The sequence below is a fragment of the Homo sapiens genome, chromosome 17 (assembly GCF_000001405.40).
Source record: "Homo sapiens chromosome 17, GRCh38.p14 Primary Assembly".
NCBI classification, from domain to species: Eukaryota; Metazoa; Chordata; class Mammalia; order Primates; family Hominidae; genus Homo; species Homo sapiens.
The window spans coordinates 67123866-67143138 of record NC_000017.11 but is presented as its reverse complement, the minus strand read 5'-3'; the positions used below and the strand labels follow the sequence as shown (position 1 = coordinate 67143138).

Here is a 19273-nt window from a genome sequence, read left to right as displayed (position 1 = left end):
ATTAATTATCTATATTTATAATTGTTACATCTCCCTAACAGGATGACCTCTTTTTATCATTTTTAAATGTCCCTCCTTGGCCGGGTGCGGTGACTCATGCCTGTAATCCCAGCACATTAGGAGGCTGAGGTCGATATATTGCTTGAGCTCAGGACTTCGAGACCAGCCTGGGCAACATGGTGAAACCCCGTCTCTACAAAAAAAATACAAAAAAATTAGCTGGGCATGGTGGCAGGTGCCTGTAATACCAGCTACTCAGGAGGCTGAGGTGGGAGGATGGCTTGAACCTGGGAGGGGGAGGTTGCAGTGAGCTGAGATTGTGCCACCGCACTGTAGCCTGGGTGACAGAGCTAGACCCTGTCTCAAAAAAATAAAATAAAATAAATAAATAAATATCCCTCTTTATCTTAGTACAGCTTTTTGTTTTAAAGTTGATTTGTCTGACATTAGTATAACAATTTCAGCTTGTTTATAGTTGCTGTTTGCATGGTATATCTTTTTTTATTATTTTACTTTCATCTTGTTTACATGTTTGAATCTAAAGTGCATATTCTATAGACAGCATATTATTGGATCTTGATTTTTTAAAAAAAGTTTGAAAATCTCTGCCTGTTTGTTTTGTTTTGTTTTTGAGACAGGGTCTTGCTCTGTCACCTAGGCTGGAAGGCAGTGACATGATTATGGCTCACTGCAGCCGTGAGCTCACTGGGCTCAGGTGATCTTCCCACCTCAGCCTCCTAAGTAGCTGGGACTACAGATGCATGCCACAATGCCCAGCTAATTTTTGTATTTTTTGTAGAGATGGAGTTTGGCCATGTTGCCCAGGCTGGTCTTGAACTCCTGGGCTCAAGCGATCCACCTCCCTCAGCCTCCCAAAGTTCTGGAATTGCAGCCATCTTTGCCTTTTGATTGGGGTTTTTAATCCATTCACATTTAATGTTACTGATATGGTTGGATTTACCTCAGCCCTTTTTTTCTCTATGTCTCATGTAGTTTTTGATCTCCTGTGTCTTCTTTATTGCCTTCTTTTGTATTAAGTGCATATTTTCTAGTGTCACATTTTAATTCCTTTAATTATTATTTTTTCTTTTTTTTGAGACAGAGTCTCACTCTGTTGCCCAGGCTGGAGTGCAGTGGTACGTTCTTGGCTCACTGCAACCTTCGCCTCCCAGGTTCAAGTGATTATCATGCCTCAGCCTCCCAAGTAGCTGGAATTACAAGTGCCTGCCACCACACCTGGCTAATTTTTATATTTTTAGTAGAGGCAGGGTTTCACCATGTTGGCCAGGCTGGTCTCAAACTCCTACTTGAAGTGATCCACCCACCTTGGCCTCCCAAAGTGTTGGGATTATAGGTGTGAACCACCATGCCCAGGCATTTCTTTTAATTATTTTTTAATTATATTTTTTGAGTTATTTTCTTAGTGGTTTCTTTAGGGCTTACAATATATATCTTAATTTATCAGAATCTACTTCAAATTTTTATTAAATGAATTCCAATGGGCTATAGAAACTATACTCCTACATAGCTCTATTCCCCCTTCCTTTCTAGGGAATAGAAAGGTTATATTTCTAGACACTAGAAAATATGCACTTAATACGAAAGAAGGCAATAAAGAAGACACAGGAGATCAACCTGTGCTATTATATATAATATACCTATATATAACAAACTCAATATATTTTTATAATTATTACTTTATATAATTTTATGTTTTTTAAAAATTCTAAGAGAAGGGTGGCAAGTACATATTTATGGAGTTTGCTGTATTAACCTTCACTTCTCTTTGTGGATTTGAATTACCATCTGGTGTCATTTTTTACCTACCTCCTTTGTGCCGTTACTGTCAAACATTACGTTGTTATATATTATAGCCTAACAATACAATTATATACATATGGGTTTTTGCAGTTGCTTTTTAAACCAGTTAAGAGGAGAAAGAAGAAATATGTTATTATACTGTCTTTATAATTACCCACATAATTACCTTTACCAAGATTCTTTGTTTGTGTGGATTTGAATTATTGTCCGGTATCACTTGCTTTCAGCCTGAAGAACTTCCTTTAGTATTTCTTATAAGGGGAGTCTGCAAGTGAGGAATTCTCTTAGGTTATGTTTCATCTGGGCATGTCTTTATTTTGCCCTCATTTTTGAAAAGTAGAATATAAGATTATTGGTTGAATTGGTTGGATTTTTTCTTTTAGCACATTGAAATATGTTTTCTTACTGCTTTCTGGCCTCTATTGTTTCTGTTGAGAAATCTGTTAGTCTTACTGGAATTTCTTTGTAAGTGATGAGTTGTTTTTCTCCTGCTGTTTTCAAGATTTTATTTTTGTCTTTGACTTTAGTTTTTAATATGGTTGTCTGGGTGTGGGTCTCCTTGTGTTTATCTTACTCAAAGTTCATTGAGCTTGGATGTATAGCTTAGTGTTTTCCATCAAATATGACAAATTTTTAGCCATTATTTCTTTGAACCTTTTTTCTGCTCCTTTCCATCTTTGCGCTCCTCCTGTTCTCCCATCAGATGCATGTTGGTGAGCTTAATTGGTGTTCCACACTTCTTTGAGGCTATTTTTTCTGCATTACTTTTTCTCTCTGTTCTTCAGATTGCATAACCGCTATGTATCTTCACGTTTGCTGATTCATGCTTCTGTTATTTCAAATCTACAATTGACTCCTGGCAATAAATTTTTCATTTCAATGTTTTTCCTTTTTCACTTCCTGGGGGCATAAATTGCTCCACGGTGTGATCCAGCTGCCGTAGGTCTCTTGGCGGAGGCAGAATTTTGCCAGTTTGTGAGCCTTCCGCTCACCGTCTCCTGGGCAGAACTTATGGAGCAGTTGTTGGGGGAGGACATGGAACTTGCTCCTCACTGCTTTTCCCAACCTGCATCCATCCTGTGGAGCAGGAGCTCTGTGTATGCTGTATGTTTGTGTGTAATCCATGCTGCCATCCAGGTGCTTCCATCCAGCTGGTGCCGCTACCAAGTGTGGCTCTTCTGCAGTGCACATCAGGGGAGGTTGGGATCTGCTGATGTTCATTGGCTGCTGAATCTACCCAGCATAGGTCTTCTGTCCTAGGAAGCTAGAGAAAATGCAAACTGTCAATGGGCTGCCAAGGCCATTGGATCAGCTCTCCTGCAATGCAGAGCTATGTGGGAAAGAGGGACTGCACTGCCACCCACTGTCCCACTCCCTATGTAGCAGGAGATGGGGGTTGGGTACCACCTGACTACTACCAACTGCTTATCATAGGCCTTCTGCAGCACAAAGCTGTGAAAAATGAAATCTGCCAATGTTTACCAGCTGCCAAAAGTACCTGGAATAGGAGGGAGCTAGGGCGATGGGAATTGCCCCTTGGCCGTTAAAACAGTTCTGTAAGAGCTGTGGGGGAAAGGGGGCAGTCCATAGCTTGTAGGCCTCAACCTTCCACTGTTCTCAGTGAGTTTTTACAGGTTTTGTTGAATAGATGGATGCTTCTCAATTTCTTGTAACCTCTTTGATCTGTCTTTAGAGACTTTGAATGATTGTCTTTGCTAATTTTGACCAGCTTAGAAGATGTTTTTCTGGGAGAGAGGTTTCCCAGAATGACTCATATCATCATTCTAAGTCTGTTTTTTGACTACATGACAGGAGGATAAAGTGCAGAAATGGTTGTGTGTTGCTTAGAGGTGGGAACTCTGTGGGGTGGGAGGGCGCAGCAGAGGTGTCTCCCAACTCATCTATCCCCACATCTAACCACATGGGTAAAGATAACTTTTTCTTATTCCTTATTGCAGTAGACTGAGTATGTCTACTCTGTTTCCTGATAGTGAGAATGCCATGTCTTTAGTCCAGTTTGCTCTTCACCTTCCCTGGGTAGTCTGTGTATGTGATACACTTGCTGCTGTATCATAATAACGATAGGATGACTGTAGTCCTTACCTCTGTAGTTCACTGAATTTGTATCTGGACATGGGAACTGCTTCGTAGTCAGTAACCTCAAGTTTTTCAAAGGATGAAAATTGTCAATTTTTATTAAATATATTTAATATTATAAATTAAAATAGATACTGTTAGTAAATAATAAAGAAACGATGTACTTAAAGACATTTGAAAACACACCTCCTTCCTCTGTATGCCCCTGGACTCTTGACTGACCCTCTATTTGTGCTTGCCTTATATATTTTTTTTATTATGACTCTCTTTTCTAAATAAACCATAAGTTCTTCTCAGTAAGTAGCGGGCAAGGAACATGTTTTATTAACTTTTGTACCTTCTCCACTGTGCCAGACATTGAAACTGTTTGATCAATTCATTGAATTAAAATAGAACAAACTATCCTAAAAACCCTATCATAATCCAGTAATTGGGGTCTGAAAAATTCAGTTGCATAAACTGTGGCATTGCTTTATTGCAAGGTTAATGAAATGGCTTGGCTGGACTTGTACCACTAGCAGGCAGTGAATTCTGAAAGTCTTTCTCTGTGATCCAAATGTGGCCTAGTCCCAGCTGTGGTTTGTTGTCAATTGGTGGCTGTTGGCTGGTCTGCTTAGTTATATCAGTGAGGAAGGGGACAATGTTAGACCTTGTACTGCTGGGACTTAGTGATGTCACTGATGACAGGAAGCTTCTAGTTGGTTGGTTAGTTTCATTGGCCTGATCTGGAGAGAGTGGACTGAGAATTACTGGGGCTGTGAGAACTTGCCTTCCCTAGAATCATGGCCTGTCTTTTTCCCACACAGGAACTTGAGCTTGTTCCTCCCTACACAGGAACTTGGGGGCCAATAGCATTGTCCCTGATTTTCATGTTTTCACTGGTTGTATTATTGGAGAATTTTACTGTTTAAAATGTAAATGAAAAATTTATATTCTCATTCAGTTCACATCAGCAAAGCATTACTCCCATTTAGGGGTAGTTTTTTTTTTTTTTTAAATGACATCTGCTAAAATGGGATCCTTTATAAATCAGTTTTAGTTACGATATTATTTTCTCCAAACATTGGTGATAACTTTAATATGTATGTGTGTGTTTGTTTTTAAAGGTGTTTGAAGTGGTGGAACGTGTAGAAGAGTTAAGAAGGAAGTGGCCAGTAGCGTGGGGGAAGTTAGATGATGGCAGTATTGGTGTGGTGACTCCATATGCTGATCAAGTGTTTAGAATACGTGCTGAACTTCGAAAAAAGAGATTATCTGATGTTAATGTAGAAAGGGTGCTAAATGTTCAAGGTAAGTGTCAATTGAAATGAATTCAGTCATTCAAATGCTTAAATCTAAAGTGTGTTCACATTGGATTTTTAGTACTCAAGATCTCTTTTCTGAAGTTATGTGTTCATTTCATATCAAGTTCTTTAATGCCAGGTTTGGCAATTAAAGGTTGAATTCATTTACATGTTTATTAAGTTTTTATATCCAAATAAAATAAGTATTAACAAATATACCTTTTCTGTGACCATAATTATATCAATGCCACATAGTATATGTATGCTGTGAATTACAGTCATAATAGTATATAACACATTCTGCTGTTATACGGTATCTGAGGATGAATTTCTTCATAAAGATTTTTATGTATAGACTTTTCTAAGTTTATAGTTAACAGCAACTCTTTTAAATTATGTTCATTTAATTAATTGCTATAAAATCTGTGCTTTTAAATATATGAAGCAACACTCTGATGTGAACTCTAATTGAAGCCTAATACAATGTTAGGTTTTATGGTAATATCCAGCAGTAAGAGTAATATACAGCAGTAAGAGCATGGGCAAAAAATAGTTCTACTGTACCATGTGTTGTCCAGATTATACAGAATTTAGGTGAGCATTTTAGAAAGAACATTAGGAGTAAATTAGAAAGCACCCAGAGGAGACTTAGGGTAGTGAATGATCAAGACACTGCCATGAGAAAACTAGGATTGTTTGGCCTGGAGAGGAGAAGACTAAAGATTGACATCAGCATTGTATTGAGATTTGTCATAGGGTGAGGGAATAGATATGTTACTATTTGAAGCACGTAAGAAAAAATGATATACACCTAGACTTTCTGTAGACTTCTTTATGAAATCAGCTGTGCGTGCCCTCGTTGGCCAGAGACTGGATGACTGCTTCAACAAAGGGTCCTTGTATTGGGTGGAACCTGGGACTAGATAATTTTAAGGTTGGTTCCAATAGTATCATTAAAAAAAATTTTTTTATGGTGGTAAAATGCGTATGATGTAAAATTGACCATTTTAACCATTTTTATGCACATAAGTTCTGTGGCATTAAGTTCATTTACGTTATTGTGCAACAGTCATCACCATTCATCTCCAGAACTTTTTTGATCTTTCCAAACTGAAACTCTGTATGCATTAAATGCCCCCATTCCTCCTTCCCTCCTGGCAGTCACCCTTCTACATTCTTTCTCTATGAATTTGACTGTTCTAGCTACCTCATATAAATGGAATTATATAGTATTTGTCCTTTCCTGACTGGTTTATTTCACTTAGCATAATGCCTTCAAGGTTCATCCATGTTGTAAGATGTGTCAGAATTTCATGCCTTTATAAGGCTGAATAATCTATTGTATGTATATGCCACATTCTGTTGATCCATTCCTCTGTCCAGGGATACTCGTGTTGCTTCCACCTTTTGGCTATTGTGAATAATGCTGCTATGAACGTGGATATACAGATATCTGTTTGAGTCACTCCTTTCAGTTCTTTTGAGTATGTATGTAAGCATGGAATTGCTGGATCATATGGTAGTTCTCTGCCTAAATTTTTGAAGAACTGCCACACTGTTTTCCACAGCAGCTGTACCATTGGACATTCTCACCAGCAGTGCATAAGGGTTTCAGTTTCTCCACATCTTCGCCAATGTTTGTTATTTAGCAATAACATTTTAAAAAATGCAATGCTTTTATTATATCAGTGGTTCAGAATGACAATCTTAAGTCTTTTCTTAAAAAATTTTCTTTGTAGGAAAGCAATTCAGAGTTTTGTTTCTTAGCACAGTACGTACAAGACATACTTGTAAACATAAACAGACACCAATTAAAAAGAAAGAGCAACTTCTGGAAGATTCCACAGAGGACTTAGATTATGGTTTTTTATCTAACTACAAGCTTCTCAATACTGCCATCACAAGAGCACAATCCCTGGTTGCTGTGGTGGGTGATCCCATTGCTCTGTGCTCTATTGGAAGATGCAGGTAATTATGTGTTAATGTTGAGACATTAAAGGGGAAATGTGACATGATTTGTATCCCTATGTGTATATTTATTCATATGACCTTCTGGCTAATTAAAAACAGGTTTATTGTAGCCTGATATCCAGTGGGAACACAAAAGCATATTACTTTGGATCTATTTATTGTATGCATAATTGTGTATTCATTGAGCCATTATTCAAGAGATATTTCCTGAGTGACTTCTAGGTTCTAAGCACTCTTCCAGCTTCTGAAGATACATGAGTGAACAAAATAGACAAAGATCTCTGCCCTTGTGGGGCTTACATTTTATTGGTGGGGCTTACTTTTTACTGGTAAGGAGAGGAAGATTACCGTAAACTAAATAGGAATATTATATAGTATTTTACATGGTAAGTTGAATGGAAAGGAAAATATTAAGAGGAATTAGGAATGATGAGGACGGTGCAGACTAGCTTGTGATTGTAAATAGCGTGGTGAGAGCAGACCTCACTGAGAAGCTGACTTGGAAGTGAGGGAGAAGCTATTTGGGTTAAAAGTGCTCCAGGAAGAAGCAACAACTAGAGCAGGGGTCCTGAGCTGGTTTCATGCATGTGTTTGTCTTTGATGGATATTAACTTTTATATCCCTTAGTGCCTCACTTTTTCACTTAATTGTTCTAATTTTTGATGAATTTCCTTCTGTAGTCTTGCTCTCTCAAGGCTTCTCAATGTAGATAATTCTTTGTATCTGGTTAATCCAGAAGATCTTAACATTAGGGGGTTAGACGTGGTCATTACTTGTCTTTCGGTAGCATTATTAGTATTCATTAGACTTTAGTTTTAAGGAACAGTTTCTACTAAATATGGTTAAAATATCAACCTACACACCAAAATCTTTCTTTATACACTTGTGACTTATACCAGTTAATTGGAATTTTAACTGTACAAAGCCAGTAATAGAAGATTTGGCCTTTTGAGTGTTGAAGAACTGTGCTAGCATTAAAAAAAAAAAAAGCAGTCGAACAGTTATTTATAATATTCTTTTGTGAAAAAGAAAGAAATACACTAGGGATTACTTAAAATTTTATAAGTGTGCTAGTACCTGTCATAGGAAGTTCAGAATAGTAAAAAGAGATGTAGGTAGTCCTGAATCTGCCTTGGGTAATTATTTCTTTTTGATATGTTAGAATTAAAGTAGACAAAACTATTAGGACATGGCACTCTTTAAATCAGGTTTTTTTTTCTTACAATATAGATAATGACAGCACTTTATTATCTATTTTTGTGTTCTAGCAGGAAGAAAAATTCTGGGAAGGGAGACTATTTGGGACCTTTAAGAATAAGTTTCATATATTAGAATTTAAGACCCCTCAAAAAGTTAATATCCTTTATAGGGGAAAGCTATCATCAAAGGAATCAAGTAGAGTTTTAATTTATGAAAAAAAAATTTCTTTTTTAAAAAACAAAGCTTGAAGGGTCTGTAACTTATTTATCTGTAAACAATTCTGTTGTAACATCTTTAATTTCATACTTTAAAAATATATTGCCATGCATTTGTAGTCACTAATGACAAATTGGAGAGGGGAGAGTATCTTTTTTTTTTTTTGAGACAGAGTTTCACTCTTGTTGCCCAGGCTGGAATGCAATGGTGCAGTCTCGGCTCACCGCAACCTCTGCCTCTTGGGTTCAAGTGATTCTCCTACCTCAGCCTCCCGAGTAGCTGGGATTACAGGCATGCGCCACCACGCCCAGCTAATGTTTTGTGTTTTAGGAAGAGATGGGATTTCTCCATGTTGGTCAGGCTGGTCTCAAACTCCGGACCTCAGGTAATCTGCCTGCCTCAGCTTCCCAAATTGCTAGGATTACAGGCGTGAGCCACCGCGCCTAGTCGAGAATACCTTAATTCTGAGTTACAAATGAATAGAAGAACCAGGTATATCAAGAAGTCTACTAATTTTGCTTTCATCCTAAGAATTTTACTTTATATTACTTTACTAGTCATTGTAAGTATATTTCGTTTAGAATGTTGCTTGTGGTATTTTACCACTTTTGCTTGTATTTATTATTTGATAAGTGAGACAGCACATACAATTTGATTAGAATGTAATATATTAAAGCACATGTTGAAAACAACTAGAAACTATTAGGGGAGTAAATGGATTTAAGAATAGTGTTCCGGCCAGGCGCAGTGGCTCACACCTGTAATCCCAGCACTCTGAGAGGCCCTGGTGGGCGGATTGCTTGAGCTCAGGAGTTTGAGATCACCCTGGGCAACATGGCAAAACCTTGTCTCTACAAAAAATACAAACTTTAGCTGCGTGTGGTGGCATGTGCCTGTGGTCCCAGCTACTCAGGAGGCTGAGGTGGGAGGATCGTTTGAGCCCAGGAGGTTGAGGCTCTAGTGATCACGCCACTGTACTCCAGCCTGGGTGACAGAGCAAGACCCTGTCTCAAAGAAAATAAAAAAAAGAATAGTGTCAAGCCACATTAGTTTTGGGCTCTCCTTATAAATAACTCCAAATATATTTACCAACCTGAATATTTTTAAAGAAACCATTACCCCTTTCTTAAAGAATCATATTATACTGTGAATTGCATGAGATCAGCATTTTTCATCCATTGTCTTGACAGAAATCATTACTTTCTTAGAGCAAATGGGTGAATAATTCTTCCTGAGGCCATGTTCTCAGAATTATCCAGGGCTAATTTTTAACTTCAAAGCTGAGTCTGCAGTTGCCTGTTTCTTACTACTCAGCTGGGAAGTGTCAAGGTATATACATTAATTGATAAGCTAAGCAGAATATTTTCAGGGAAGTAAATATATTATGTTGAGTGAAAAAAAAACATACATTTCATAGTTACATGGCAATGTTGATTGTCTGCTTTATTTGTACAGTTTAATCATGGCTGTAGCCCAAGAATTGATAGTTGGGGCATATGGATATTTAAGCTTTAATCTCACTAATTTAATTAGATATTAATTTACTCTCACAGTACAAGTAAGCTCAGAGAATATAATATGATTCTTGGGTCCTGTAAAAATGGAAGAGTGAGTTCTTTGTAGTTTGAGTTCATTAGGACTGTTTTCCTGCTTTTTTCATTTAATATTTTCAAAAAAACTAATATATTCCCAAATATCAATCAAGTTTTTAAGGAATACTTACTGTGTATATTATACCAGTTCAGAAGTCAATCAGTTACATATTCTTTTTTGTTGTATTTTTAAACAGATTTTTTTCTGTTAATCAAAAATGGATATAGTGAAGATCCTCCCCCTCTCTCACCAAGCTAAGAAGTATTAATAGTGGCTGCTGTTTATTGACAGCTTTCTTTGAGCCAGGTGCTGGTTTATGTGCTTTGCACACATTGCCTCATTCACTCCTCCTAACAACCCTATAATGTGGGTATTTTATTTGCATTTTAAATGGGCAGCCTGATTCAGAGAGATTAAATTGCCCAGGGTCACATAGCTATTATGTGGTTCACTCAAACAGGTGTCAGATTGACTTCAAAACCCACATTCTTCTCTCTGGTTATGCTGCCTTTCCCAGAAATGATGGATATGCTCAGATAAATCTGCACGGAATGGCAGGAGGCTAAAAGGAGAGTGATAACCTTTTTTCAAACCAAGGCGTTTGGAGAAGGTCTTCCCTTGAACTGAATTTCTTCATTTAGCACATTTTATTTACTCTGTAAAATATAAACATATTTCATGTATGTGTAGAGATATATGTATATTTGTGTACACACACACACACACACACACACACACAGTGACCTAAGGACACCAAGTGATTTTTTAGTGTTTTATCAGTGATCCTAGAAGTAAGGTTAACAGAGAAAGAAAATCAAACTTTGTGTTCAGGCAGTGATTAAAAATAAGGTTACATCCTTTGAAATGCCTAAAATTATATTACAGTGTAATACACACTTGGGTTTTTAAACCAATAGTACTAAAAAAATGGGTAACATAATATTATGTTAACGTTTTAGGGAGGGGGCTGAGAATTGATGAAATCTTTAACCAGAGTGGTGAATTCTTGTCCTCATTCTATTGTGATCTGTCAATTATCTGTATTCAGAAATGCTTCATAATTGTATGCATAGTAGTTTGGTAAGGTATTGGGGAGTTCAAGGGCCAGTGTAAAGAGAAAAAAGGAAAAATTTTAGCTTTAAAACTAAGAATTTTTGAAGGAAAGAAGCATTTCCCTGAAAGTTTAGAAGTGAGACACAAATGTCATTTCAATAGTAAGGAATAATAATAATAGTAGTGCTGGCGCCCCACTTTGCACATGAGGAAACTGAGATATAAAGAGAGGCTAAGTAATCTGCACGAAGTCACACAGCTACTGAATGGTAGAGTCAAGATTTCAGGCTAGTTCTAGAATCCATGTGCTTTACCATTTTGCTATATCAATGGTGTCAAAAAAAAAAAAGGTCAGATTTAACATGCAAATTTCAGGTCACTTTTGGAGCCAGTTTAACTTGATTAACTTATAGTAAGTAGTTAATGTTACTTTTAAATTGGTACACGTTAACTCGAAGGCTATTTCTTTGAAATCTCTAGAATCTTCTGGTAGGCAAAGACTGTCACCAAGCTCCAGCTTTTTGTGAAGTGTGAGGTTGTTTGACTTAATGTTACTTCAAATTCTGTTCATTGCGGTCAAGGTCAGTGAGGGTGATATAGGAACAGGGTATGGAGTTTTAAAAAGTAGCTTAAAAATAGAGCAACTTCTAGCATTTTGGCTGTGAAAGCTGGAAATGAAAAATGTAATAAGAAATTGATATTAAAAATTGAGCTAGAGGCTGCGTACAGTAGCTCATGCCCATAATCCTAGCACTTTGAGAGGTCAAGGTGGGAGGATTACTTGAGGCCAGGAGTTTGAAACCAGCCCTGGCATCATAGCGAGACCCCATCTCTACAAAAAAATTTAAAAATTTAGCCAGGTGTGGTGGCACACAACTACAGTCCCAGCTACTCTGGAGGCTGAGGCGAGAGGCTTGAGCCCAGGAGTTCAAGGTTACAATGAGCTGTGATCATGCCACTGCCCTCCTGCCCTTCACTCTGAGTGACAGCACAACCCTGTCTCTGAAAAAACAAATAACTGAACTAGACAGAGTAAAAGTCAATCCATTCTTTCCTTAGCGTTTTGCTTTGTCTTGAAGTCCAACGCAAACCTGAAATGCCACTCTGTGAAACTGATACTTTATCAATTAGACTAAAAAGACCTTTCTTTTGAATGTAGTATGTAATAGAATTGTATTGATAAATATGCAGTTGAATATTGTGGCTATTCTTATTAAAAGGGTGGGAAAGTGGATGGATTTTAGATCCTGAGTGCTATATAAGATAGTCCTTCCCTATATTTTCTCATGTTATGATGAGAAAAAAAGCACAATTCCTTCATTGGTGTTCTTAAAAATAAAAATAAAGGACAGCTTTTCAGCATGTATTTCCTGGCAACACACATTTCCAGCAACTGCATGACTGTCTTATTAGCCTTAGTCTTATAGTCAGAAGTACATATTTAATATTTTGTAGCATTTTTACTTTTTCTGTTGTTTACATATAGGTCTAAAATTTTTTCTGAACCCATTTGCTTATTTTTTATTTATTCATTCCATTTAAAATTTTTAATTTTTTTTATTAAAATTCTTTTTTCGACAGCTTTATGGGTACAAGTGGTTTTTGTTTACATGGATAAGTTGTATAGTAATCAAGTCTGGACTTTTAGTGTACCCCTCACCTGAGTAGTGTACATTGTACCCAACAGATAGTTTTTCATTCCTTACCCCTCTCCCACCCCGCTACCTTCTGAATCTCCAGTATCTCAATTGATTTCTTAAACTCATCTTCAAAAAACTAGGAAAGATGGATATAAGGCATATGTAAGAGAAGCACGGTTTGGAATTAAACTCTGCAAAGTTTTATGAATATATTAATAACCCAATTCCCATTCATATACTAACTTTTATAATATAAACCTTTTCATTTATGCTTCTTGAAGCCATCTTGATTACCTGCTGTCCACCTGGACACAAGGATACCAACTTGGGAAGAAACCATATCACATATCTTTTATAGCATAATAAAACATTATTTGAACCTCTCATATTAAACATAGGTATGCATATTTATAATAGTCATTTAAAATTTAAAAACTTTATATGTTGTCTTTTGTAATATGTATTTAATAATTTTAATATTTAGAAATCAATTTTCAAACCTAGAAACAACGGTATGTAAATGCAACAAGTTTTGAATGTACTGTTCTCCTTTAGTACTTATGAATTTGATTAAGAAATGAATAATCAACATTAAAATTAGCATTCCAACTTCCCATATTTTTCATAATTCATTTAACACTTATAACTTAGTTAATGGTATAAGTTGTGCTTGTAACAAGCACCTGTTAATTAAGAGAAAAATACGGAGTAGCTGGTTATTTCTTAAGAATCCTCATGAGGATTATGTACTTTGTGACTCAAATTTATGTCTTGAGTTGGCTTTTCTTAGTCATCTAACACTAGGCTACTTTGGCCTTATAATTCAAATATATACACACACACATAGATTACACATACATGTGGTATCTATGTGTGTGTATATATGTGTATGTGTATATATGTGTATGTATGTGCATATATACACATATACATGCGTGTATATGTATATATGCGTATGTATATAAATTAGAATTATGTGATTTATATTCATTATATTGAATTTTATATACATAGTATATATATGTATGTAGTAAGTATGCCTAGAAGTACAAATTTTGTGTGAAATGAGTTGCCATCAGTTTTGAAAACTTATTATATGGGTAATAAAAAAGATCATTTTGAATTAGTGTGGATAGGTGAGTACTGACCATATTACTTGCATTGTTGAGCCAGAATTAATGGAGAGCCTGTTTTATATGTACTATAATACAAGGTATGACTGTAGTTTCAAAATCAAACTTCTGGAGTCTTGTGATCTGGTAGAAAGATTTTATCTCAATCATAGATGACTATTGGGTTTAAGGATTTGAGGTTGGGGGTGGAATTTGAGATTATCTTTAGTTATTTATATTCATTTCTGTGATCTCATCCATTGAATTGTAATCTGATCTTGTAAATCTTTTCTGTAGGAAATTTTGGGAACGGTTTATTGCCCTGTGTCATGAAAACAGTAGCCTACATGGAATCACTTTTGAACAGATCAAAGCCCAGTTAGAGGCTTTAGAACTAAAGAAGACATATGTGTTGAATCCGCTGGCACCTGAATTTATCCCCCGGGCTCTAAGACTGCAGCATTCAGGAAGTACCAACAAACAGCAGCAATCACCACCCAAGGTAAAGCCTCTGTTAATGAAATTGAAGAGGTTAAAGGGAGAAAACTTCGCAGAAGTGCCAAAGGTTTATTGGGATGCAAGTTACTTTAAGTGTTGGAATTGAAGGTTACATTTGGCGGCAAGCGGTTTCTGCAAGGAGCTTGTTTAGTGTGGACATGTAAGTGAAAATACAGTATGGTGTTTAGTCATGCTTAATGTTATGATCATTCTCAAACAATTTTTAATACTGATAACTTCTGGTATCATTTATATAAAATAACCTTCTAATCCTCTCTACTGATAGAGTTGTTTTAGTGAGATGTGAATAAAACAAAGAAGTTTAAAAGATTATCACACTTACTAAAACATGTCCTTATATTCTTTATAAGGAATAATGTTATAATAACGATATTTGTATAAAGCAAATAATTCTGAACCTTTACTGATGACCAATTTATTTGAGGTGGTATTTGACAGAGTAAAAAAATTTGGCTGACTTCTTGAAGATGACTTTAATTGATTTTGACACATATTTTTTGTATAGAAGCATTCCAGTCAGAGGGAGTGGAGCAGGGGAGTCAAGGCTATTTCCACTTTTGAACTATAGTTATTTTGGACAGAGACAGCCGGCTTATTTGCTAGAGTGCCTGAAAAAGATGCTTGCACTTACCATCTAGAAAAGAAGGTTCTGAGACTGGCATGTTTAGTATTTGTTCTGTTTTTTTTCTTTGATATTTATAATCATCAGCATATTAAAGTTACCAATAAGAATTAAAAGAGTATGTCAGTTTTGCACTTCCTTTAAAAAATGTAAATCTTTTTTTTTTTTTTGAGAGGGGATCTCTGTCACCCAGGCTGGAGTGCAGTGGCACATTCTGGGCTCACTGCAACCTCCGCCTCCTAGGCTCAAGCAATCCTCCTGCCTCAGCCTCTGGAGTAGCTGGGACTATAGGCGCATCCACCACGCCTGGCTAACTTTTGTATTTTTCGTAGAGACAAGGTTTAGCATGTTGCCCAGGCTGGTCTCAAACTCCGGGGCTCAGGTGATCTGCACGCCTTGGCTTCCCAAAGTGCTGGGATTAAAGGCATGAGCCACCGCACCAGGCCAAAAAATGTAAATCTTAATGTGTAAGCAGTAATTAAGAGTTTAATATTTTGAAAATCTTTTAGCTAAATAGGTATTCAGCTGAGAACTATTCTCTGTGTTAATATACTGTTGTATATTCTTAGTTTAATAAAAATGGACCTAATGTGCAATAATACTTGTGATTTGGCATTTTTAGGGTATCACACATTGTACATAAATGAATCTTGTAGATTTCTCAAGCTTATACTATTAATGTATTAGCTGTTTATTTATCAGTTAAGTTACTTCTATGTGCCAGATGTTATTGTAGGTGCTAAAGGAGCACAGTAGCAAATTAGCCCCCGAGTCCGCCTGTGGCCATGTTGGAGAAGTGAGAGGAAGTGAGAGGAAGAGGAAGTAAATTGAAGGCAATTTCTACCAAGGAGATCTTGTTCAGAAGTTTATTGGGTGGGTGGAGGTAGTGGGAGATTGGGGAAACATGTCAAAAACTGGAAGATAAGCTCACTTAAGGCAGAGATTTTTGCCTGTATTATTTGTTGCTCTCACCTCTGTGCCTAGAGCAAAATCTGGCTCATAATAGGTACTTAGAAGTATTTTTTAAATGAATGAGTAAAGCTTAAGAGAGCTTTTACAAAAGACTCCCGGTATAAGAGAACAGGGGACATGACTTTCATACATAGCTAGCTCTAGCTTAGTGCTACATTATTATTACTATTATTATTTTTTGAGACAGTCTTGCTCTGTTGCCCGGGCTGGAGTGCAGTGGTGCAATCTGACTTTTACTGCAGCCTCCGCCTCCCGGGTTTAGGCAATTCTTCTGCCTCAGCCTCCCAACTAGCTGGGACTATAGCCAAGCGCCACCATGCCCAGTAGTTTTGTGTGTGTGTGTGTGTGTGTTTTAGCAGGACAGGGTTTCATCACGTTGGCCAGGCTGGTCTCAAACTCCTGACCTCAAGTGATCCGCCTGCCTTGACCTCCCAAAGTGCTGGGATTACAGGCTTGAGCCACTGTGTCCAGCCTGCTACATTATTATTTTGTTAATAAGCTACCAAACACTGTATATTTTATATAAACTAAGTAAATTTACTGTTCTATGGTTTCTTGCTAAGTCAAAATACAAAATACAGTGACTGGAGGATTGTATCCTGTATTGAACCATGTGGAATGCTGAGTTATACTTGTAGACATGCCACTATCTTTTTACTCCATAGGCCCGAATTTGCTTTTTTAATTTAGTATACTACACAGTACCCATAGTGCTGATATATATTGTCTAGCGTTCTTCCAGCTTTACAATGTAGGATTACCCTAGATTATGGTTACTATTTATTAGTTTCCTATTGCTACTGTAATGAATAAGCACAAACATAGTGACAACACAAATGGATTACCTGGCAATTATATGAGTCAGATGTCTGAATTGGCTTGGTTGGTTTCTTTGCTCTGGGCTTCTCAAGGCCAGCATCAAGATATTGGCTTTCTGGGCCCTTACCTGGAAGCTCTGGAAAGAATCTGCTTCCAAGATCATGCAGGTTGTTGGTAGAATCCAGTTCCCTGTGGTTATAGGACTGATGTTCTTGTTTCCTTGGTGACTGTCAGCTGGGAATCATTCTTAACTTCTAGAGGCTTTTTACCAGTTCTCAACTGTGTCCCCTACATCTCATAGCCAGCAGTGGTGCATTGAATCCTCCTTTCCCTGGGAATCTCTCTTACTTCCTCTTCCGCTGCGTCTCCCTTATTCCAGCCAGAGAAATTTCTCTGCTTTTAGGGCTCATGGGATTAGATTGGGCTCACCCACATAATCCAGGATAATCTCCCTGTTTTAAATTTATAACTTTAATTAATATTCACAGAGTCCCTTTTGCCACATAACATATTCACAGGATCCAGGGATTAGGATGTGGGCCTCTTTGCAGGGGCTATTCTGCCTGCCACACTCTGATTAAATTGCTGTGTTTCCTCCACATGCTAAGCAGTTGTCCCTGGTTGTTGAGTCATTAGCAAATTAGTGATAGGTCTGGAGGATAAGAAATCTAAATGGTTTGTCACCGTTTTGGAACTGTCTTATCTGCTGTTTGTGTCACTGGCTCTCCTTTCTTCTGTCAGTGTGTGTGCTACTGGCTGATCTTGTCTCTTCTAATTGCTCCTGCTTCTCATCTTATACTTTTGCCATCTTGATGTTTGCCTTTTTCTCCTTTTTTCTGTATGCTTTTCTTATCACGTCTCTATTCCTCACAAGTATATATATATATATATATATATATATATATATATATATATATATATATATATATATATAGTTGGTGCCAATCACTGTGAACATGCTTTCTCTTGAGGTTAATGGACCAACTATGATTTTTTAGGGGGTCTTTTTCTGACTTCATGAGGCTTTTTTATGACTTTCTGACTTCAGCTGCCCTTCCTCACTCATAACCAATTGACCTTAAACCTTCTGTGTTTACTGCTGATCTGAATATTTGCTCTTTCCAACAGTTAGATAGGTAGGTAAATCAAACATCATTGTATTTTTGCTTTTGTCAAGAATGATTTTTTTTTCCTGCTGTAGACATAATCCCCTCTTTAGTTTTCAGATGTAATTTACAAATTTACAAATTTGTGTGTGTCTAAAGGTAAGTTGCGCAATGTGCTACTTTTCCTCAATTGGCTTGATACGTGTTACTTTTAGCCCATGGGAAGAGAGAATTTTTTTTTTAATCCAGAAATTCAGAACCATTGTCTCTTCAAATACTGTTTCTGCCCAAATGTCATCATTTTTAATGGTAGACTAAATATACCATTATGTGAATTTGCTATTGCTTATTTAATAAATCCTGCACTGATGGGCATGTAGATTGTTAACATTTATTACACACATAAACCATGCTCTCTGTGCCCAAATGCATGATTACTTCATTTGGATAAATTTCTGGAAGTGCACTTACTGGGTTAACGTATGTACATTTTTGATGCTGTTGATATGTATTGCCATATTGCTGTCTAGCAGTTAGCTAGATTATCTCACAAGCAAATAATGACAGTTCCCCTTTTCCTGTTTTTGTTTTTTTAAAGTAAATTTTATACTTTAACACAGCATGAATTATACTCAAAACGTCATAAATCCTAAGCCATATTTGCATTCTTTTTATTCCGTTAAAGGTTCTCATCTTGAAGATTAACATTTTTACTTTGAAAAACAACCTCTGTGTTTCGTGATTTGTTAGAAAATGTATAGAGAAACTGCAATTCTATTTCTGCAAAGGAATAAAATTTAAATCATGTTGATTGCGTATTTCATTTTAATGAAAAATATTCATAAAAAAGGAATTTTAGATACCCTTAATTTGAAACTGAGAAAACTTGAGGCCCAGCAATATTATTTGAGATGGCTGTGACATAATGTTTAAAAAGAAAATTGGCTCAAAGCAGTCTAATGGTTATTAATTATAGACTCACAGTTTTTAGATTTTAATTATTGATGTGTACATTAATTTACATATGATTAGGAAAATGGTTATTGTTTTCTAATACTAAACATGCTTAAATTATTATACATTTGTGTTTTTCTTTAAAGGGGAAAAGTCTTCATCATACCCAGAATGATCACTTCCAGAATGATGGAATTGGTAAGTGGAAAAATTACCCTATGAAAACTTGCTTTTATGATGTAAGAGATTTTCCCCAAATTTCACCACAAGAAAGAGGAGGGTGGGGAGATGGTTT

The 19273-nt window shown here is 36.6% G+C and overlaps 1 protein-coding gene across 10 annotated transcripts in view; it reads left to right on the top strand.

Annotated features, from left to right (window-relative positions):
* The window catches only part of HELZ (helicase with zinc finger), a 175546-nt gene that overhangs the window by 102851 nt on the left and 53422 nt on the right, over positions 1 to 19273 (top strand). For 9 of the 10 annotated variants that reach the window (XM_047437225.1, XM_047437224.1, XM_011525544.2 and 6 more), the window contains 4 exons: positions 5025 to 5208; positions 6941 to 7169; positions 14284 to 14488; positions 19125 to 19176. In XM_047437225.1, the coding sequence (XP_047293181.1) occupies positions 5025 to 5208; positions 6941 to 7169; positions 14284 to 14488; positions 19125 to 19176 (670 nt within the window). Of the gene's footprint in view, positions 1 to 5024; positions 5209 to 6940; positions 7170 to 14283; positions 14645 to 19124; positions 19177 to 19273 lie in introns of those variants that run through there. The other variant, XR_001752712.3, reaches the window with a different exon arrangement.